We start from the raw sequence: 21,860 nt of genomic DNA on the forward strand, positions 1-21,860 counted from the left end.
CCACCAGCCCCTCCCGCTGCTGGTCCTTCCCCTGGCTGGGCCCCACCTTCTGTGGCTGGCCCCTACTCCCCCACGGACCCCTCCTCCACTTCCCCTCCCACTGGCCCGCTTATCTTCGTGGCCTGCAGCCTGGTCCTGTCACCATGGAGTACCCATCTGCTGTGCATCCATCTGCCTTGGTGGAGCCACTGCCTACAGCGACAGGGCTAGGGTTAGAGCCGGGTCAGGGAGGGTAAGAGGTGGGGTGCTCCTCCTGGCACAGGGGTCAGGCTGTGTGAAGGTAGGGAGTGGGCTTCCCTGCCTCCTGCTGTGTGGTGGCCTGGCGACCTGAAGGTAGTCTCCTTGTCCTTGGCTGGACACTCTTCCTGAGGTCAGTTTTGCTGCTGTCCTGGGCATGGCCCCCCACAGTGTGCTCCTGACTCTGGCTTCAGTCCTGTGGCAGCCTCGCTGCTTCCTCCAGCTCCAGATTGCCCCCAGGCCTGTGTTTAGTGTTTAGGGAGCAACAGCAGGGGACATCCATGCCCCTGGAAACTGCCCCGTCCCCCCCTTCCCCCTTCCCCCCTCGCCCCCATTTTTGTTTTTCTCGTAGGGGTGGGTGGTCCCCTGGTCCATTTCCCTTCACCCCCAGGCTTATCCTTCCTCAAGGGCAGTTAACTTTAACATAAAAAGCTTCCAGAATTGCCCCTGTCAGGGCAGCTGGGATGAGGGTGAGCAGGAAATGAGTCTAGACAAAAGAGAGGGAGAATGGTCCTGGGCATCGGGCCAGGGGCTCCCACTCACTCCACCTCTGAAGTGGTCCAGTGGGCCCAGGGGCTTTTCTCTGCCCCTCCACAATGTGCCCAGCAGGGGCTGCACTGTGGAAGGAGCCCTAGACATGTGCTGAGTCTGGTCGCACTGATGGAAAGTGGGCTGAGGGGCCGGGGGGCAGCTCCTTCATGGACCGGAGAAGAGCTGGGAGCAGACACAGGGGTGGAGTCTGCAGCTGCCGGGGCCTCCCTGCCTCTCTGCTCTGGTTCCCATGACCCCACGGTGTTTAGGTGCCAGGCTTGAGCACGGGGCTGGGGTACCGGGAGAATAAGACCTCCCTTCCTCTGGGAAGCTGCAGTCTATTGGGGAGACCCTGGTCAATAACTCACACTGTAGTCCCACAGGGCAGGACATTCAGGTGACCTTTGAAGGTGTGCACAGGGGACAGACCAGGCCTAACCACTTGAGGCGGCTTCCCTGTGGACTGGGCGCTCAGCCAGGATCACTGGACCAAGCACAGGGCTGCAAGCGAGCGAGAGTAGTGGGGCGAGTCCCGCAAAGGCCCAAGTGGGGCAAAACCACACTGTGGACTTGCCCTTTCTCCCAAGAGCAGTGCTGAGTGTGGCCACCAGGAGGTGGGAGTGTGCTGGGGGCTGTGTGAGGACCTGAGGGGACCACTCAGCAGGCTGCGGTCAGTGGTGTCCGCTTGCCACTGTCACCACTGGCTTTTAGAGTTGTTTGCCTGCCCTTTTGGGGCTCACGGTGGTTTTAGGTTGATGTCCCTCTCCTGTCACATCTCTGAGGTTGAGAGGGCCAGGGATCAACTCCTTAGGTTCACAGGTTCCTGCAGATGCCCAGAAATGTCCTTGGACCATTTCCTGACTCAGACGGAAGCTGGTGGGCATGTGAGGTGGGTGACTCTTCTGGCATTTCAGGGGCTCTAGTGTATCTGTGTGACTTTAGGCTTGGGATGATCCCCATGCCTCAGTTTCTCCCTCACCAAAGGGAACAGTAGCTCCCTTCTGTGGTTTTGTAGAACAGATACATCCTCCAGTTAATATGAATGGATTGTGCCTGGGAGGCGTTCCCTGTCCTCCCCACACTGTTCTGGGCTCAGTGAAGTGGGACCTACCCCTTACCGTCACTTACATACATAGCTGTATGTAGCTGATGACCTACTAGTTAGTCTGTGACTTAGTAAAACTGAACAGCTGCAGCGAGGCGCTGGTCTTGATCAAATGTTGGGAGAGACTCCCAGAATGCAGGTGGCAGGCATAGTCTGTTTAGCCCAAGTGTTCTCTGACAACTGTACTAAACACCCTGTGGAACAGCCCCAGTCGGAGGTGGCCATGTGTCCGCAGTGGAGGCTGGCATCCCTGTGGCCATCATGCCAGGCTGACCCCTTTTCAGCCAGGTTTTTGAGCCCCAAGCAGCATGGGGGCTGAAGTGGCAGGGGCAATGGTTTGGGCAGGAGAAGCAGCCTGACCACCTATCCATGTCCACATAACCCCCTTGTGGAGTTCACACGACCACAGGCTCCTCCCTTTACCCTGAGGGGCTGAGCAAGGTAATAGGAAGAGACCTTTCCTGCTCTCCATTTGAGCATATGAGTTATATCCATCCTTCCTCTTTGCATGAACATACACAAACACACATGCTCATGCATAAACACATGCTCATACACACACATAAACACACACACATACATGCACATACCCACACAAAAATCCTCCCAGATGCATACACTCACACTCATTCTCCCCCCAAACATGCATGCACATAATCACACAGAAACACACACTCATAAACCAGTGCATACTCACACATCCATACCCACTTGCGTGCATGCACTTACACATTCACATGCGCCCTCACACTCATTTTGTACCTACACACTAGCTCACACACTCACACAGTACACTCACAAATACATGCATGCTCACCCACTTATAGATTCACACACTCACAAAGCAATGCACATTTGCACACTGATGCACACTCGTAAACTAATGCACACTTACATGTTCATGCTCACCTACACTCACTTCACTGTTACTAATATGTGGGTCTTTTGAGTAGATGTGCCATCCTGGTCTCTGAGGGAGGGCAGCCTGTGCCCTGTGTCTCAGCAGCACCACCACAGAGACCTGGGTTGAAGCCCAGTTCCTGCACCTCCAGCTCCGTGACCTTGGCAATCTCAGAATCTGGCTTGTGAAGGGAAGCCAGGCTGCCAGCCTTACCTGCATCATGGAAGTGTAGTGAGGGCTAGTGGGAGGGCAGGCATGTCCACATGGGACTTGGGAGCTGTGGAGGCAGGGACCGGGCTAGGACTCTAAAGCCTTCCTTAGGGAAGGGAGTGGGGCTGTCTGCCACTCGGCTGTGCCCCTCTCTAGTGCAGGCCAGGGCAGGCACCTGGCGGGGGGTGGGGGGTGGTGGGGGATGGGGTGGGAGGCCTGCCTCCACTGCCCAGTCTTCCTGTTCTCCCTCCCAGTGTTTCTCCTCTGTCCCCTTTAACCCTTCAGCTCCCTGTGCCCTCTTCAGGCTGATCTGGGCTCTTCTCTCAGTGGAGCATGGGGTGTCTTCTGCAGTATTTTGCTAAGGGGGTCCCATCTGTCCTCCTACCCCATGTGTGTTTCCCTCTGCCGTGCAGAGATGCCAGCCCCAGGAAGGATGTATGAGGTGTGGGGGAATCCCTGGGGGCAGGGCAAGGAGAATAGGAGCCCACCGCAGCAGCCTAGCTCTGGCTTTGTGCTGAAGGCAGCACAGTCCCTGGAACAATCCCATCTCCCTGGATTAAAGGGATGGCAGGAACTGCTTTGATCTCCAGGCTTTAGTGTTCGCTCTGCCTTCAGTTTGGGTTGGGAAGAAAGCCTGGAGCTGAGAAGAGCTGTCTGCTTCCCAGAGCTCGGGTGTGACTTCGTAGAGCCTGAACATAGCTCTCTGGGTGGGGCCTCTGTATGGGCATGTGCCTGTGTGCACACATGTGCGTGTGGATACGTGTGACTGTACACATCGTGTGTGGATGTGCATGTTTGTATGTCGGTGCATGCCCATGTGCATGTGTGCATGCATGTGTGTTCTTACATGTGCATGTGTTTCCATGCGTGTATGCTTGTGTGTGCATACAAGTGCAAGAGCATTGGTAACATTTAGAGGAACCTGGGAGCAGGTGGACAGGATGCTGCCAGCAGTGTGGTGGGGTCCCCAGAAGTGCTGGGAGCCCTGCACTACAGCCTCTGAGCCCTGCAGAGGAGAAAGTCCATGCTGGTAGCACATTCTGAATCTGAGCACAACTTTTTGTTTTGATTCTAAAAATACAGAGCAGCTCTTTTATCAGAGTACAGTGTTTCCTTGTTTCCTTCTCCCAAGTAGACTCTTCTCTGAAGTAGACTCTTCAGCCTTTGGGAAGTGGCTCAGCCTGAGAAAATGCAGATGCATGGTGCTTGGCTGGCCTGGCTTCCTGGTGCTTGGCCACCTGGTGTTCTTTTCCCCCTTCTTTTTTTTTGAGATGGAGTTTCGCTCTTGTTGCCCAGGCCGGAGTGCAGTGGCGCTGTCTCGGCTCACCACAACCTCCGAGTCCCAGGTTCAAGCGATTCTCCTGCCTCAGCCTCCTGAGTAGCTGGGATTACAGGCATGCACCACCACGCCTGGCTAATTTTGTATTTTTAGTAGAGATGGGGTTTCTCCATGTTCGTCAGGCTGGTCTCGAACTCCTGACCTCAGGTGATCCACCTGCCTTGGCCTCCCAAAGTGTTGACATTACAGGCATGAGCCACTGTGCCCTGTTTTTTTTTTTTTTTTTTTTTTTTTTTTCAGACAAAGTCTCTTTCTGTAGCCAAGGCTGGAGTGCAGTGGCATTATCATGGTTCACTGCAGCCTTGAACTCCTGGGCTCAAGTGATCTTCCTGTGTCAGCTTCCAGAGTAGGTAGAGCTACAGGAGTGCACCATCATGCCTGGCTAATTTTATTTTTTGTAGAGATGGAGTGTCAGTATGTTTCCCAGGCTGGTCTTGAATTCCTATGCTTAGGTGATACCTCACCTTGGCCTCCCAGAGTGCTGGGATTACAGATGTGAGCCACCATGCCAGGCCCTGAGTGCCCTTTTCTTACTGACATGGTTCGCCTGATTGCCGTCCTGCTGCGTGTGGCACACCCTGGCTCTGGTGGCCCCCACTTCCTGGGAGCATCGATGCTTCCGATGGATGGGGAATTGTTGTTTACACAACAGGTGGCGTGGGGCCCAAGGCATCACATGTCCGAGTGTGGAGATGTCAGGCACCCACTGTGGACAAAGAGGATGGCCCCTTCACAGCAGGGCCATGCCTGGGACAGAGCCCCCCGCTGCCCCCTGCTGTATGTCTTTAACTGTGGTTCTCTGGCTGGCTCTTGCCCACTAGCCCTAAGGACTCACTTGACCTCCTGTCCCTGGACATGGTCCTTCTAGCGCCCTTCCCTGACAACTGGGCTCAGTGCTTTCTCGATAAACCTGTTTAATACTGCATTCTATGCTCCCTGTGCCCCCCACCTACCACACAGTCTAGAGCCAGGTCTAGAGGTCCCAGCCTGTGGCCAGCATCTAGGCTTTCCATGTGAAGCATCACCTGGTTACACTCCAGGAGGGCTTCTCTCCCAGCCTGTGGGGGCACCTGTGGGTTTTCTCAGCTCTACTGTCCAGTCTCTGGAAGCAGCATTATTGTGGTAAGCATGCAGCTGATGAGGGCGAGTCTGCTTAGGAGTATGGTGGAAAGTTCAGGAGATGCCAGGCAGTTGCAGGCCTGTGCCGGGAGTCAGGGCAGCCTGTTCTGGAACATTCTGTTCCCCAGGGAGCATGTGGCAGTGAGCATTCTGGTTGGTCACCTCGGTGTGCACCATGTGCCAGCCAGTGCAGCGAGCCTGTGCTGGAGCCATGCTCAGTGGCAATGCTCCCAGAAGTCATGAGTGCCTTTGCCTTCATTCCCCTATGAGAGGAATAGCCTCTTCTTAAGAGAATGCATTGCCTTTCTGAAACAACCGTGGCCTCAAAAAGGGATCTTAAATACTTGTTCGTTGAACTTGTTTTCTGTGACAGCTGTTTTCTCAAACCCTACCTGCCCTGCAGTGTCAGTGATTAACTGAGGGAACACAGTTTAGGAAACATTGGCTTAGCCTAAAGATTTTGAAATATCTCTGATAGTTAATTTTTAAAAATCTGTACTTGCAGACATCACAGATGTTTCATGAGCACTGACCATGTCCTGGTGCTGGGTGGGATCTCGTCACTGGCAGGGTCCCATTGGGTGGGTACATCTTTTTTTTTTTTTTTTTTTTTGAGATGAAGTTTCGCTCTTGTTACTCAGGCTGCAGTGCAATGGCGCGATCTCATCTCACTGCATCCTCTGCCTCCTGGGTTCAAGTGATTCTCCTTCCTTGGCCTAGCCTCCTGAGTAGTTGGGATTGCAGGCATGTACCACCACGCCCGGCTAATTTTGTATTTTTAGTAGAGATGGGGTTTCTCCATGTTGGTCAGGCTGGTCTTGAACTCCTGACCTCAGGTGATCCACCCACCTCGGCCTCCCAAAGTGCTGGGATTACAGTGTGAGCCACCACACCTGGCCCAGGTGGGCACATCTTTTATGCCAAGCACCTTGGCTTCAGTTTGTTCAAGGGTCAGAAATGGGCAGTGCCTGAGAGCTCAGCTGATGGTGTGACTCCTTTTGGCTGGTGTCACAGGTGCTGTGGGTGGGTGGGGGTGGACAAGCTGGAAGTGGCGCTGTTCTGAGGTTCTGGTGTTACCCTCTCTGGGAGGTTCAGATGGTCACCGTGTCATTCATTGATCTTCTGGGCAGGGATGTGTTGAGACACGTGGGGAGCGGACTGTCTTTGATGGGAGCTGTCCCCAGGGTGCTCTACCACCTGGGGGCTTGCATCTGTCTTCCTGACTTCCCTGCCTTGTGTTCCTCACTTTCCTGCTGGTGTCCTTATGTCAGATTCTACCAGTGCTTTTTCCTTTCTCCCTCCTAAGCTGACCTCGCGAGTGTGCATGACCTGGGAGGAGAGGCTGGGCTGTCTTGGAGAGGGGCACCATGGAGGAACAGGCTGCATGCGGCCCTAACACCCCCTTGGAACTGAGGTGCCAGTGGTTACACAGGAAGCACCAAAGACGGCTGCTTCTCCAGGTCCCCGTGAGAATCCTTTCCCAGGTCTGTTGAACATAGCTTCACGCATTAGAAACCTGATGACGGGAGCTCAGGGAGAGCCTGTCAAATTATTTTTTAAAAAATTGTGTTATTTTATTTTTATTATGGAAAATTCAAATATACACAAAAGTAGAGAGACCAGCACAGTGATTTCTTGAGTACCCATCACTGGCTCCAACAATTATCAGCATTCTGCCGGCCCTGTTTCAAATGATGCTAATTCTAAAACGCTTTTATTAATTCAAACACCAGAAGCTAACAAGCAATTACGTTAATTTAAAAACCCACTTGTGTGAGACACTGAAGAAGCAGCCATGGTTTAAAGAGAATGATGTCACACCAGCACTCAGCCGCTGGTGAGCACCATGGAGGGACTGAGTGGTGTCCACTGGGGGCTCAGTCAGGGAGGGGGACAGAGGGACCACTCCACCATCCAGACACCTGGGAGGTGGCAGGCTGATCGCAGTCTGGGAATTTACCAATGAGAACATGCCCAGTGCTGTGCAGGGAGCAGTTGTGTGGAGTCAGCTCCTTTGCTGGCCTGTGGCCCAAGTGCTGTTGGTTCATATGAGAAAGCACTCCCTCCAGCAGGCCCCCCGACCTGTGCCTGCACTCTTGCTCTGCTCAGGAGAGGCTGGTTTGGAGGACTGTCCTGCAGTGGTTCTCCTGTCCCCATGGATAGTCTGAATGCCACCCAGGCTGAGAGACTGTGCTGGGGCAGCCCGGGTGATGTCATGTTGAAAATGGGAGCAAATTCAATAGAGAGGTTTTCATACCCAATAGGAGTGATCCTGGGGTGAGAAGGGACCACCCAGACCAGTCCAGGGATCAGGAGGCTGCTCTGTAAAAGGAGGGAAACCCCTCTGGGCCAAGGTGGCAGTGAGGGTTGTGGGTCTGAGAGCATGCTCTGCCCAGAGCTGTGGCATGGCCAGGGCGTGTGCTTCCATGTATGTGCATGGCATGGCAGACAGGTCAGAGGTGAGTCCAGGGCTCAGCGGGTCTCTTGTGTGCCAGGGAGGTGGCGCTCCATCCAGAATCTGGGATGATGGGAGGGTCTGCCTCACGGGGACTTTGACTACAGCCTGATTGTGGGTTGTGTCAGGCGGTGGGGTTAGAGAGAAGTTGGTGGCATAGGGCTGTCAGGGGCAGGGCCTGATGAAGGCTTGAGAAGGACAGAGAGAGAACGTCAGAGGACTTGCAGGTTTGGCTTGGGCAGTGGCACCTGTCTCTGGAGGGGAGGAAGGACAGGTACCTGGGGATGTGGGATGATGATGTCAAATTGGGATACTTTCTCCAAGGACTATGGGACGTCTTGGGTTGGGGGAGGGGCCCAGGGCTCCTCCAGGGTGCTAGTCTAGTGACCACGAGTGGTGTCTAGCATGAGGGATGCTAGTCCAGTGACCCTCCAGTGTCTGATGATTTTCTCATGGTTAGACTGGGGTGTTGGTTTTCAGCAGGAGGCCTCAGAGGACATGCCCTCACTGCATTGTGTCAGGGCACTTCTGTCAACAGGACTCATCATGGCCAGTGCTGGCAGTTACCAGCTGGCTAAGGTGGTATTGGCAGGTTTCTCCTCCGTAAAGGTTTTCTCTTTACTTTTCCTTTTCCATTTTGTGCTTTTCCAAAGGAAGTTACTGTGCTGAGCCCATACTGAAGGAGTGGGGAGTTTACCTTCTTGAAGGCGGAGTAGCTATAAATGATTTGGAATGATCCAAATTTTTGCCTATTCATCTGTTATCCTTCATTTATTTTTTATTTAATCATTGATTTATATTAGTACTGATGTTTATTTTATACTTTGGGTTACAATTCAATACTGCTTTGTGTTGCTCAAATTGTTCCAACTTTGGCCATTGGGAGCTCTTTCAGTTGGCTCCTGTGTCCTTTGATACACCCCCTCCCCATCATTTGTGTGTGTGCGTGTGTGTGTGACACTTGCTTTACTTTCTGGCCCTGCAAGGTGCTCCAGGCCCATCTGCTTGATTAGCAAATATTTTCTCTGCCTGAGCCCAAGAATCAGTCATTTCTCCAGGGAGCCCCAGTTCCTTTTATTGGAGAATTTTATTAAAGACCATTACCTGGCCTCCTCATGTCCTCGTTGCTCCTGGGGAGCCATTGCTTCTAGTTTTCTCTCATTAGGCAGAGCTAGAACATATATGTGCACACACATTTCTATAAACGTTTGCATATGTACCCATCTGTGAATTAAGTCAAACACGAGTTCATCCTGGTGCCTCAGAGTCTAACCTGCCTCCCATAGTGAGGGGCTGGCCCTGGTGATGTTTTCAGGTGGTGCACAGTCAAGTAGAGATGCCCCAGGGCCTGCGGACAGGTCCTGCTCCTCCTGGCTGCCTTTTCCGAGCATGCTGGTGCTCAGTCTAGCAGACTCCCTGGGAAGCCCTTCTCTTCCCGGCTGTCTGGCTGAGTTAATCTGGCCCATGAAGATTTCTTCAGGGTGTTTCCAGGTGCTGGCTCTTTGGCCATTGGGGGCTCTTTCAGTTGGCTGCTGTATCCTTTGACACACCCCCATCATTGCGTGTATGTGTGTGTGTGTGTGTGTGTGTGTATGTGTGTGTGTAACACTTTCCTTACTTTCTGGCACTGCATGGTGCTCCAGGCTCACCCTGATGCCTCAGAGTCTAACCTGTGTCCCACGCAGTGTCCTTTGTTGGGTTTCTCCTTAGGTCTCTTTGATAAGCTCATTTGGGAGGTACTACAGTTGTCACCAATCTGCCCATCTGGTGGATGGAGAGACTGAGCCACAGTGATGGTGCAGGCAGAAGGCAGGGCTATGGCAGGGTCTGACCCTGGTGAGGACACCTGGACTCCTGTCCTCGCTCGCAGCCCAGCACAGCCCTTGCTGGGATGAGGGCCCGAGAGGGTGTCCATACTGGGAGACCAGCAGCCTGGTGCCACCCAGGGCCTGGCTGGTGTGGGCAGCATGTGGCTCTGGGCCACCTTGTGGTCAGGGAGTGTGGTGGTGGTGTGCAGATGGCCCGGGCCGGGCCGGGGTTGGGTCTCCTGCTCCAGGAGTGGCCAGCGGGCTGTGGTGGGGAGGCCGCCTGTCCCCCAGGCCCCTGCAGCCCTCATCTCTGAGTAGCTCGTGGTGACCCGAGCCTGCCTTTCTTGTCATTGTGACATGTGCTAAGCCACATTACAATTGCCTTGCCCCTGTGACATGCATCTTTTGGATCTAAATGCCCCTCTAGCCGTGAGTTCAGAGAGCTTCATGGAGAGAATCGAGAGTTCCAGACCTTGGGGACAGGTTTGGAACTCTCAATTCCAACACAGTGGATGCATTTGGTGGTTGAGGATGCTCATCTGGGAAAATGCGGGGGCGTGGGTGTCTCGGCGGGTGAGCCCTGTGCTCATGGGCAGGTGTGGGGCACTTGGCAGATGACACCCAGCCCTACTGAAGTGTCCTTTCTGCAGCAGTCTCTTCTCAACCACCCTCCACCGTGGGTTTTTTTTTTGAAGGGAGGCAGTGCCCAGCTCCTAGAGGAGTGGGTTGTTTGATGGCGCTTTTCCTTTCCAGGGCCACGGGGGTCTGAAGCTTCCAGTGGGAGTGTTGGTTTCACTGGTGACAGTGCCCTTCAGATATCCCAAGGGCAGGTAGTGATGGTTCCCATTCTCGTGAGGACAGATTGTAGTTAACAGAAATGGGGAGGCAAGCTAACGAAAAGAGAGGAGTGGCTGGTTCCCTCTGAGAAAGGGTTCCTTGGGCCCTGGGAGGGCTTGCAGGGGCACCTCCATATAGTGCAGAGATGAGGGGGACCGGCCGCCAATCCCCCCAGCCTCCACGGGCTGCTAGCCCACACGGAACAGCTCTGATGCAAACGGGGAGGGTCGGTCATCTTGACAACTGACCCGCCAGCTGTGCTATGTCCCCACCCCCCCATGGACTCCTTGTCATAAACCTGTAATCTAAGCCCATTGTGTTCCAGGAGGAAACCAGGGGAGAAAGGAAGCTAACATGTGGAAAATCTCCAAGGAAGGTTTTGTTCTTCCTAATTGTCGTTTTTGTTTTAAGGGCTGGGGTCCACCTGCCATTCACTTCCTTTAGAAAGTGGGTGGTGGCCTCCTGTGCAGGCTCCTCCGCAGGCCTTGCTGGCTTAGCTCTGGCAGCTCCAGTGCCCCATGTGTCCGATGGCCCCTGGGTCTTCCAGCTCCCTGCTCTGGCCCTGACCCTTTCCAGACATCCATGGTGTTTGGTGATTCTGAGCGCTGAACACACCCTAACATGCTCTGCGTTTTGTTTGTGGAAAAAGCCGGATCTGAGTGGTATCCACACCATGATGACAGCTCTGTCAAATGCACCGAGAGGGAAGCTAAATGGCCGTGTTCAGGTCCCATGGAGATCTTCAGGGTCATAGTGGAGATTTCAAGGTCACCTTCTTGATGCTCAGGGTCTGGGAGAGACCATCCTATTGGATGTCTTGCTGCCTTCTCTGACCCCTCACAGGTGACAGCCATCCCGTCTGGCCTGCAGAGGGTGTGGTCAGGGTGGTGCTGTCCAGCAGGGGCAACCTCCTGCCTGTGCCTTTGCCAGTGTGTGGTGTTTAACGTCGTCAGCCCCACAGGGTCAGGTGGGGGTGTGTCTGATGTGTGTGGGGAGCTGTGCTGGGCGAGGGTCAGGTCCCCCATGGAGGTGTCAGGCAGAGGATGGCTGTCAGCTGGAGCCCTGCAGATTCGTGTTCCTTGTCCTCCCTCCCTGTCACCTCTTTGAGAGTGGCTCTGATGTTGTTTCCAGATTGCATGTGACCGTTGGTCCTAGGTTTGTTTTCCAGCCTCCTGATGGATGTGCCTTTGAGGCTATGTCATACACCTCAGGTTTGAAGGTGCTCCAAATCTGTCCTCTCCCCTCCCTGTGGCCCCTGCCCCTGGTCAGTCTCAGCTCTCCTACCTGCTCCTCAGCCCCAGCATCCAGTAGGTGGCCAGGAGCTGCCAGGTCTCCCTCCTAGAGCCGTCTGGGGGCCCCATCCTGCTGCCTGTAGCTTGGCCCGATCAGGGTGACACCCATCTGTCCCGTCTCATGGGTCTACCTCCTGGACTCGCTTGGTCCCCGTCAGGTGGCAGCTGCTCCCCACACTACTGTGTGAGTTTGTTTTTGATTTTAGTTCTGTTTCATAGTGTGCAGCACACATTCACATGTGGGGGTGTTTGTGGTTAATCTGTGTGGAGCAGTGACAGCCGGAGCCTGCAGGTTTCTGCTCCCTGGGAGACAGGTAGAAATGCCTGGGCTTAATCAGACATAGAAATTCTCCAATTTTGCGAGTGACCAAGGGACACCCGTTTCATACAATACTTACAAACTGCAGCCCCTCTTCAGGGCCTCTGGCAGGACATGCCATGGCCCTGCATGGCTCGTCAGAGTTGCCTGTGTCCAGACCCAGTGGTCTGCAAGACGTAGAGACAGATCAGATGAGGAGACCGGCAGCAGGCAGTGGGGAGTGGGAAGTGATTGTGGAGGGGAACCCTGGGTCAGGCTGGCCCCAGGTGCCTGATGCCTGGGTCTGAGCCTGGTTCTGAGCCTGGAGTGTGGGTGCACTGCTAGTGCTGGCTCCTTCTCAGGCTGGCCCCTTCTTTGTGTCTCATCTGTTGAAGCTGAAGTGGGGACAGGACTAAGGGAGAGTGCAGAGACCGGGCTCTGGACACTGCGTTTCCCCATCTTGTGCTGGTGCTCACTGTGTCCCCAAATCAACATCTGGGCTGTTTTCGTTTTTTGTTTTTTTTTTTTTGTGAACTCACCTTTCCTGAATCTTTCCAGAGGAGTTTGTGCAGGCTTTGTGGGAACAGCCACTCTACACATATGTATTCTCCAGGGGTCTTGGTTTTCTGAAGCTGCTATAACAAAGCACCACAGACTGGGCACCTTAAACAACAGAAATGGAGAATCTCACAGTCTGGAGGCCAGAAGTCCAATATCAAGCTGTGGGCAGGGCTGGGCTCTCCTGAGACCTCGTTCCTGGGCTACAGACAGCCGCCTTCCCTCTGTGCCCTCACAGAGTCTTCCCGCTGGCTGTGTCTGTGTCCTCATCTCCCTTCTTATAAGGACACCAGGCAGATTGGATTAGTGCCCACCCCGATGGCCTCATTTTAACTTAATTGCCTCTGTAAAGACCCTGTTTTCAATTAGTCACATCCCGAGGTCCTGGGGGTTAGGGCTTTATGCATTTTGGGGGACACAGTTTGGCCTTGACACTAGGCCTGGTTACTCCTCATCCCCTGACATGCTGTCTCACAGCCGCCCGGACAGGGTGAGGACGAGCTCCTGCCCGGCTGACTCCCTGTGTCCCTGGCCCTGCGCTGTGGGTTTGGCCCGGGCGGCGTGGCTTTTGGAGAGCTCTTGCTATGCTCTCCGGGCGGCCTAGGCCCTCTTTGTGTGTGTGGGATGTCAGGCTCCACATGTTGCCTCCTTCTCTCCCTGCAGCTCGGTGCCAATGCCTTGCTCTTCGTCGGTGTGAACATGTATGGGGTCTTTGTGCGGATTCTGACTGAGCGTTCACAGAGGAAGGCGTTCCTGCAGGCCCGGAGCTGCATTGAGGACCGACTGAGGCTGGAGGATGAGAACGAGAAGCAGGTCAGTGGCTTGGGCCAGTCAGCCTAGAGGGGTTGGCTGTGGGGCTGGGGAGGTGGAAGAAGCTGGCTTCCTGAGCCTCAGTTTACCCCGTGGTGACATGGGCCACAATTCCCATTGGTACATGTTGGTATTTGAGGCTGTGGAGGAGATGCCCTGAGGTTTTATAGTTAGCAAATGGACAGGCAGGCTGAGTTTGCTGCCCATGGGATAGTGTTGGGATGGGGCTGCTTTGGGGACAGCATTTGGGCGCACGGACTTCCGGTTGCAGCTGGAATAGGTCAGCTGCCCAGGGAGGACGAGGCAGGTCCTGGCTGGGCCTCGGATGAATGTGACCGTGCAGGTGGCCCTGATCCACTGGCCTGAGGCTTCCACCAGCTCTGCCCTTGGCTCAGTGTGGCCGACCCCAGAGCACGCTGGCACTTCTGGAAGGCAGAGATGCCCTTTTGCTGGGAGTTGTAGAGGGGTCACAGTGGTCATGATACAGCACCCACAGCCCTTGGGGTTCCTCCAGTGGCCGGCATCACCCCATTTTCAGGATGAAACAGCCGCGAGGGAAAGAGCAGTGGCTTGGAAGGAGCCATGCCTAGGTTCCCACCGCCCTCTATGACCCATCTTCTGTGCTCTCTGTCTGCTGCGCGGGGCCTGTGCCCAGCATGTGGGCTTAGGAAGGACCATCTGGGAGCCCTTGGGATAAGCCTGGCACATTCCAGGTGCCTTCACTGGAAGGATCTAGATTCTTCCCCTAGCCTTGGGGCTTACAGGCCTCTGTGACACCAAACTGCTCATGTCTCAGGCCTGTAGCTGACATATAGGATCTCTTTCTCAACGATGTGAATATAAGGTATTATACCAAATATAAATGTAAAAACTCACAAACACATTTCATGTGTCGACATTATGATCCCTAATAGTTACAATAAAAGTAGGATATACAATAAAAGTAGGAAATAGATCACATATGTATGTTTAGGTGGTGTGTGCATTGCCGTCTATGTGAACACGTAGGAGGGCGTGTCCATGTGGATGTTATGTGGGCAGTGGTATGTGTCTGTGTATATGTACATGTGCATCCCTGTGGAGATGCATGTGTGGATATGTGCATATTTGCCTTTGCCTCTGTACATGTGTGCATGTGTGTCTGTGAATGCCTGTGCTCGTGTGTATGTGTCCATGTATGTGCCTATCTGTACGTCTGTGTGGTTGCATGTGTGTGTGGCTTTGTAATCAGGTAGATGTGTTTGCGTGGGCATGCCTGTATGTCTGTGTGTGTATGTCTGTGATATGCAGGGATATGTGTATATGTGTGTATGCGCATGTGTTGATGTGTTGTCTATGTGTGTGCATGAATGTGTCGGTGTGTGTATAAATTGAGCATCTTTCAAGGCTGAACCCTGAGCATTTTCTCTTAGACCAGAGTCAGTCACACAAGGAGAGATATCTCCTTTGTGCTTTCTGGGAGGCATATAGCCTTATTTTGTTACCACCATAAGATCCCAGAAATGAATCTTTGGAAGCCCTGTTCTCCCCTTAACTACATCCTCTGTAGTGGAGAAGGCAAAGGCTCTTTTTGTGGGCCCTGCTTGTGTGCATTTCCTTTTCTTTTCCTCTTTTGTCTCCCTCCCATTTCCTTTTCCATACCTTCCTTTCCTACTTCTGTGTTGGTCTTTTTTCATTTATTTTCTGACACTTGCTGCCTTTCCTAAGGACTCTCTTTCCTCCCAGTATTGTCTAGTCTAGCCTTTGCTGCTTGATGTGCAGCATTTCACTGGGTTTTATAGCAGCTCTGTAAGCAAGGAATTTTTTCCTCAGCCCTATGGAGGAGGCAGTCCACACTCAGGGAGGCTCAGAAATGTGTCCAAGTTCTAACTGCAGAGTGGATGTTCTTAAGGAGGACATTTTCAAAATGTCACCCAATCCAGTTAACCCAGCCAAATGCTATTTAGTGTTCAGATTTTGTCTTTATGTTTATTTTTCCCCACGTGATTGTCATTGTGGTGTATATATAATTTTATTTTCTGTCTTTTTGCTTATCATTTTGCACAGACATAGCTACTGGTGTGATAAGTGTGATTTAAAACATCTGCTTATTCTTCCCCTTAATGCATGTTCTGCAGTGTTCTCAGTGTCTGACATTTAGATACCACGTTCTAAAAGAGTTTTTTCTTCACGCACATGAAGTATTCACTGAGTAACATTTTTAGCAGTGTAAATATGTCATTTCTTTCCCAAGTTTCTGAGGTATTTTCCCAAACTTGTGCTCTTTTACATCTTTATAAATGATGTCTGCTTATACTCTGCTCTCTATAGCAGCCCAGGCCAACCACTGCATCAGCAGCAGTGGGGAGCCTGTTAGGAATGCAGATTACCAGGCCTCACCCAGCCCTGTAGGTGGGAAAGCCCCTAGGGTGGGGCCCAGGGGGGTTGGGGTTCTGATGAGCTGCTCTGCAGTCCCTGTCTTTCTCCCGTTCTCCCTCTCCTTCTGCCTATTGGTTTCCAACTTTCTCCCTCCCTGCCTCCCTCTCTCTCTGTGAGGACTTGTCACCTCCTGTTTCCCCTGCCCCTTTCCGTTTACTAAGGCTGACGGCGACTCCTTCATGCTTGTTCACCTTCTGTATTTCTTTGTGATTAGTACGCTTCAACCCTCCGTCCCGTTACATTCTGACTTTCCTGGCAGTCGGGTGAACTTCTCACTGTATAACAGAGACACTGATGCCTCATCCCCACGTTTCCCCAGGTCTGTTCCTCCAGCTTTGCTTTTCCTTGTGTAAAATTCAATCTCTTATATTTTCAAATGGAAGGATCATTTTCTTTCATGATTTCCTCTGTTGCTTCATAGCTGAGCTGATGTTTTGACACATGAGCGCTGATTGAGGACGTGCCTTCCCTGACTTTACCAAGTATATCCTCAGACCTCAGCTGTCCTGACTTTTGCTGTATTTTTTCTGTCGATTCCCTTTGAGCCTACAGGGTTGTATCTCACAATAACTGTCTGCCTAGATGGGCTGGTAATCAGCACCCAGGTTCCTCCTGGCTACCTGCTGTCTGATGTCAGTGCAGGGAGCCTTGTCTCTTTGGGATGGCAGAGGGGAGCACTTGGGGCCCAGTAGGGCCCTGCCAGCTCTTGGGTCTCTCAGCTACACAGGCACTTTGCCCCTCAGCATCTGCCTGGAGACTGCCTGGCCATCCAGAGAGCCTAGAGGTGGCCATGGCAGCCCTGCCCAGGCCTCATGTGTGTCAGCATGAAACGCCAGTCTCCTGAATGACAGGTGAGGGAGCCTTACCATGTGGCTAGTCGTGAGCATCTGCCTTTCATGTTTTAATTTCATTCATGACACATTTCCATTCAGCACCTGTTCCCAGAGCCTTCTCCAGCCACTTGAACTGTCCAGGCAACACAACGGGTGATGGGAGTGGATTGGGGGATGCACTGAGGTTCTGAGAGGGGATATGGGGGGATGTGACCTGATTCTGTGGGGGGATCCAGGGAGACACACCTGGTCCTGGGAGAGGATCTGGGTGTGGACACACCCCAGTCTGGGAGGGCTTCTGGGTGGATGGATGTACCCTGGTCCTAAGAGGGGATCTGGGGGACACACCTTGGTTTCGGGATGGGATCTAGAGGGGACACAACCCAGTCCTGAGAGGGATTCTGGGTCAATGCACCCTGGTCCTGGGAGCCGATGTGGGCATCACTGGTAGGAGGCGGTGGAATGCCGGGCACGTCCAGAGGGACCAGAAGATGGGGGCTGAGTGAGGTCAAGTTGAGGGGAGGCCTGTGGGCAGACTCCGAGCCTTACGCTCCCATGCACGGTGTTTGAGGGAAATCATTTCATGTCCTGTGACCTCAGCTGGAAGGAGATGGCTTGACCGGTAGAGAGTGGGGCAGGGCTGGCTCCTGTGGTTCTGTGCTCACAGAGGGGAGCTCCTGAGCCTAGCAGGAAAGAGACATCATGAACACGTTTTGAGGGTCAGTGCACAGGTAAGTGCGTGGAGGCAGGGGAGCAGACACACTGGGGAGTTTGGCGGTGGTTTTCTTTTTGTTTCTTCCTGGGGGATGAATGCATAACTCAGAGGCACTGTGGTCAGTGGCTTTGTGAGTAGGGAGAGCATTGTGCTCAGTTCACAAAATAGGAGTTTGGCTCAGGAGGCTCAGAAAACACCTCCCAGTGTGGACAGGTCTGCACTTTATGGCCCCCACTGAATGCCTGGGTTTGCAGGAGAGCACAGCAGGGTACTGCTGTTCTGAAATGCAAACTCCCAATATTAAAACTCCTCATCCTGTCCCAGCTGAACCAGTTTTGTTCTGGGATGGGAACTGATGGAACAGATGGAGATGGCTGCAGCAGCAGTGCCCTTGCTTCGAGCCTCCTGGCAGTGCCAGGGGTGGAGGCCACCGGCTTTCACGCTCTTCTCCACTCTGTTTACGCATTGGATGCTTCTGTTCCCCAATGCCAGATCGTTCTTGCCCCGTTTGATAAGTTATGTTTTGACACCAGTAGTAGGGTGTGCTTCATCTTAAGCCCTGGGGAGCACCTCTCAATTTCCTGGCTTATGATGCCAGTGTTGGCTTTTACCAGCCGGGATGCATCCCTGGGTGCTCTGTGCCTACTTACTGCTAACTTTTGCAGCAACCCATGAAGAGGGTGACAACAGATACAGACACTAGGAGCTTTCTCCTTCCCCTCCTGTACTGTTTAGTGTCAATAGCCCTGCGGGTGCCCTGCAGAATCTTTGAGGCTTTAAGGGTCTGGTCTGCTCCTGCCGAGGCAGGTGCCAGTCTCAAGGGGTGAGGCTTCTGCCAACATTCTTATGAGGGGAAATATTACAGTAGCTCTCACTCTCCTCCCGTCCACCTTCTCAGGGCAGCCCATAGAACAAGAGGCTCTGGAGAAGGGTGGGGTGGGGATGGGGGCTTGTCTGTTTCATTGCACTACTTCCTGTCTGTCTGGAAAGTTCTCTGCTGTACTTAGGAAAGGTTTACCTGAATTGTCAGTGTGCCTGAGGCTGATTCCTTTGGGGGGATTTGAATGAGCTAAAATGACCCCTCCTCTCAACACAGCAAAACAAAGAAACAGAACAAAGGGTCACCCTGGGCCCCTGCCCTTCATCTGTCCTTGCCTGCAGGGTCTGGGCAGAGAAGAAGGTCAAGGTACTAAGATGTTCTTTCTGAGTTGTCAGATCTCTTTAAAATTAATTTCAGCCCTCTATATCATGGTTAGGAATGTAAGGACTTTATTCTGCTTAATAAATCTGAGAACTGGGGCTCTGAAAATTTAAATAACCCAGGAAAGATAACGGAGCGAATAATAGAGTCACCAGTGGCAGAGCCAGGGTGAGCCCGGGATCTTCCAAGGGAACCACATGGCTGTTTCCTCCTTTCGTGGCCACAGATCTCCTCAGCTAAAAAATGCTCACACAGATGTTTTAGGCTTACAAATAACTGAGCTAAAATGCTCCAAAGGGGTGTGAAGGTTCTTTTAACAGAGCTTTTTCTGTTTCTGAACAAAAATGTCAAAAGTTGGTTCTTTGAAATAGAAAAGCATTAAAGAGACTGATCAAGAAGAAAAAGAGCAGACACAAATAAGGAGCATGAGGGATGAGAAAGGCTGCAGATAAAGCAGGGATTAAAAATAGATAATAGGGAAATGCTGAGAATAATTTTATGCCAGTATATTTGAAGAGAGACAAAATGGCCAAATTTCCAGAAAAAGTGTGAGTTACCAAAGATGATCCGCAAAGAAAAAGAAAGCCTGAAAAATCCTATAATTATTAAAAAGATTGATTCAGTAATTTACAAGCTCATCAAAAAGTAAACAGCAAGCCCAGATGGTTTTACAGATGAGTTAGACAGAACTTCAAGGAAAACGCGATTGCAATTTGATCAGTCACAGCATAGAAAGCTCGCTCTCTGAGCCTAGGTCGAGCTGGCTGGTGATTATGGAGGACGGAGCTCGGATTCCCACATCTCACAAAGGCCTGTCACGTGGACGGCAGGAAAAGCCTCTTTCTCAGTCTTGTTTTCATTAGTGGTTTGGCTTCTTGGTGCCGAAGTGGATTGGGTGGGCGTCAGGTGGATGCTTGGTCCCTGCCCTGCTGCTGTTTCATGCACCAGGTTCTAGGAGCGAGGGGCAGGGCATGCTGCCTGGTCGGGGTGACATGACTCCTGTGTGCTGTCAGCCCCCTGCCATTGCCAGGACACCTGTGCAAGTGGAACTGAGGTCCAGGGTGTTTGTGGTCAGCATCAGAGGCTCTAGAATGCTCCCAGCTCCCAACTTGTTGGTCATATGGCCTCCTGGAGCAGCCCCTGCCCAGCCTCCTTCCTGCCTTGAATGCCAGCATCTCTTCTGAGGACCGTCAAAAGTGGTGTCGGGGGCATCCCCCTCCTGCGTGGATGTCACACATCTGGCTCCATGCTGAGGCGTCTTGTTCCCCTGTGGCTGGCACAGCCCACTGGGTTCTTCAGTCTCCTTAGCTCTCCAGGAGCACTACATTGGGCCCCTCAGTCACCGCCTTCTGCTTGGTTTTCGTGGCTTGTGCGTCACAGTTTGCTCTGTATCAGCTCCGGGAATCCCAGAGTCTCCTCCCTGTCATTCTGTGGCCAGTGCTGCAATATTGCTGAGGAAGATGCCGGAGCTGGTTGTCGCCTTGGTCTGTGGGAGGCTCTGCGGCATGTCCTCGGGGGCTGTGAGGAGGTTTGTGGGTACCCAGTTGTTTGCCATATCTGTTTTTTTTTTTTGAGGCAGAGTCTCATTCTGTCACCCCAGCTTGAGTACAGTGGCGCTATCTCAACTCACTGCAACCTCCGCCTCCCGGGTTCAAGCAGTTCTCCTACCTCAGCCTCCCGAGTAGCTGGAATTACGGGCATGTGCCACCACGTCCAGCTAATTTTGTATTTTTAGTAGAAACGGGGTTTCACCATGTTGGTCAGGCTGGTCTCAAACTCCTGACCTCCTGTGATCTGCCCATCTCAGCCTCCCAAAGTGCCAAGATTAAAGGTGTGAGCCGCCTTGAGCGGCCTTGCCACATCTGTCTTTTTCCTACTTTGTTTGAAGTCTGTGTGGCAGATGGAGGTGGTGGCCAACATGTGGCTCCTGGACACACTGGTCTTCTTGGTTCTCCCTGATGGAACAGCCCAGGCTCAGAAGCCACATGCCAAGATATAGAGCCCAGGTGTGGCCGGGAGAGGAAAGGTCCCTGAGCCCACCAGGGCCCACCTCTGTGCTGGTGAGGACATGCGATCTGCTGTGCTGTGGGCATCTGGTGGTCTATGAGGGAGAGGGCAGATCCGCTGCAAGGAGTCCAGCATCTGCAGCCTGGCTCTCAGATGATTAGGGAACTGGGCCCAGCTATGTCTAGTATAGTGACATGAAGTGACCCATGGAGGGGACCTCTGACAGGGTGAGGGACTCAGCACACACAGCTGCAGGCTGCAGGGAGCTTTGCAGTTTCCCACTGGCCTTTCCTGGAAGAGCCCGAGGAGCAGAGCCACAAGTCAGGGAGAGCAGCCATGGGAAGGCAGGCTCTGACCCCACTCGCTGAGGAAGACAGAGCTGAGAGAGCCTGTCTGGAGTAAAGTGGCCCGTTGGGACAGCACGTCAGTTAGAATCTGGTTTGGCTGCTAGTAACTGACCTGGAAAATGGTGGCTTAAACAAAATAGAAGTTGTCTGTCTCATGGGCAGAAGTCTGGAGGGAGGCAGCCCGGGGCTGGTGTGGTCAGCTTAGGCTGTGTAACAGAGACTGGGTGGCTGCAACAAGAGAAATGTATTTCCTCACAGTTCTGGAGGCTGCAGAGTCCAAGATCAAGGTGTTGTCAGGGCTGGTTCCATCTGAGGCCTCTCTCCTTGACTTACCGATGGCCATCTTCTCCCTGTGTCCTCACATGGTCTTCCCTCTGTGCGCACACCCTTGGTGTCTCTCTGTGTCTCCTGATTTCCTCTTAGGAGGAGAAGAGGAATGCAGCCACATTGGATTAGGGCCCACTCAATTACCTCATTTTAATTTAATACCTCCCTAAAGGCCCTATCTTCAAATATAGTCACCACATTGGGTTTTAGGGCTTCAATCTATGAATATGGAGGGGAGGGTCACAATTTAGTCCATAGCAGCCACTAAACAACATCTTATTTTATTTCAAATAAAAGTCGAGTGTATGATTTAAAAATAAGGAGATGCTGCGTGTGAGTCCTGGATGAGTGTGCCTGGACTGGTGAGTGCCTGGCTCTGGGCTCCCTGGATGGCTGAGTGCAAATAGAAGTACATATGGCCGCCCCTGTGCAGCTGGTGGAGAAGCAGGCCTGGGCTGGGGGGACGGTCCCTTCCTGCTGGGTTTCCTCCCTTCCCCCCCTGCTCTTACTTG

At 52.8% G+C, this 21,860-nt stretch overlaps 1 protein-coding gene across 4 annotated transcripts in view, besides 2 other annotated features; it reads left to right on the forward strand.

Moving 5' to 3' along the window:
- ADCY1 (adenylate cyclase 1) overlaps window positions 1–21,860 on the forward strand; it is a 148,977-nt gene that overhangs the window by 5,266 nt on the left and 121,851 nt on the right. For all 4 annotated transcript variants that reach the window (NM_001281768.2, NM_021116.4, XM_005249584.4 and 1 more), the window contains one exon: window positions 13,354–13,503. In NM_001281768.2, the coding sequence (NP_001268697.1) occupies window positions 13,390–13,503 (114 nt within the window). In that variant the 5' untranslated portion in view covers window positions 13,354–13,389. The remainder of the gene's footprint in view (window positions 1–13,353; window positions 13,504–21,860) is intronic.
- Window positions 2,437–3,432: an enhancer, noted in NCBI's record as "H3K27ac-H3K4me1 hESC enhancer chr7:45621441-45622436 (GRCh37/hg19 assembly coordinates)". NCBI's record gives its function as "activates a minimal SCP1, AML or CMV promoter by ChIP-STARR-seq in naive H9 embryonic stem cells {active_cell/tissue: H9 hESC(naive)}" and the evidence as "EXISTENCE:reporter gene assay evidence [ECO:0000049][PMID:30033119]".
- Window positions 20,343–20,844: an enhancer, noted in NCBI's record as "H3K27ac hESC enhancer chr7:45639347-45639848 (GRCh37/hg19 assembly coordinates)". NCBI's record gives its function as "activates a minimal SCP1, AML or CMV promoter by ChIP-STARR-seq in primed H9 embryonic stem cells {active_cell/tissue: H9 hESC(primed)}" and the evidence as "EXISTENCE:reporter gene assay evidence [ECO:0000049][PMID:30033119]".

The sequence above is a fragment of the Homo sapiens genome, chromosome 7, assembly GCF_000001405.40.
Source record: "Homo sapiens chromosome 7, GRCh38.p14 Primary Assembly".
Lineage (NCBI taxonomy): Eukaryota > Metazoa > Chordata > Mammalia > Primates > Hominidae > Homo > Homo sapiens.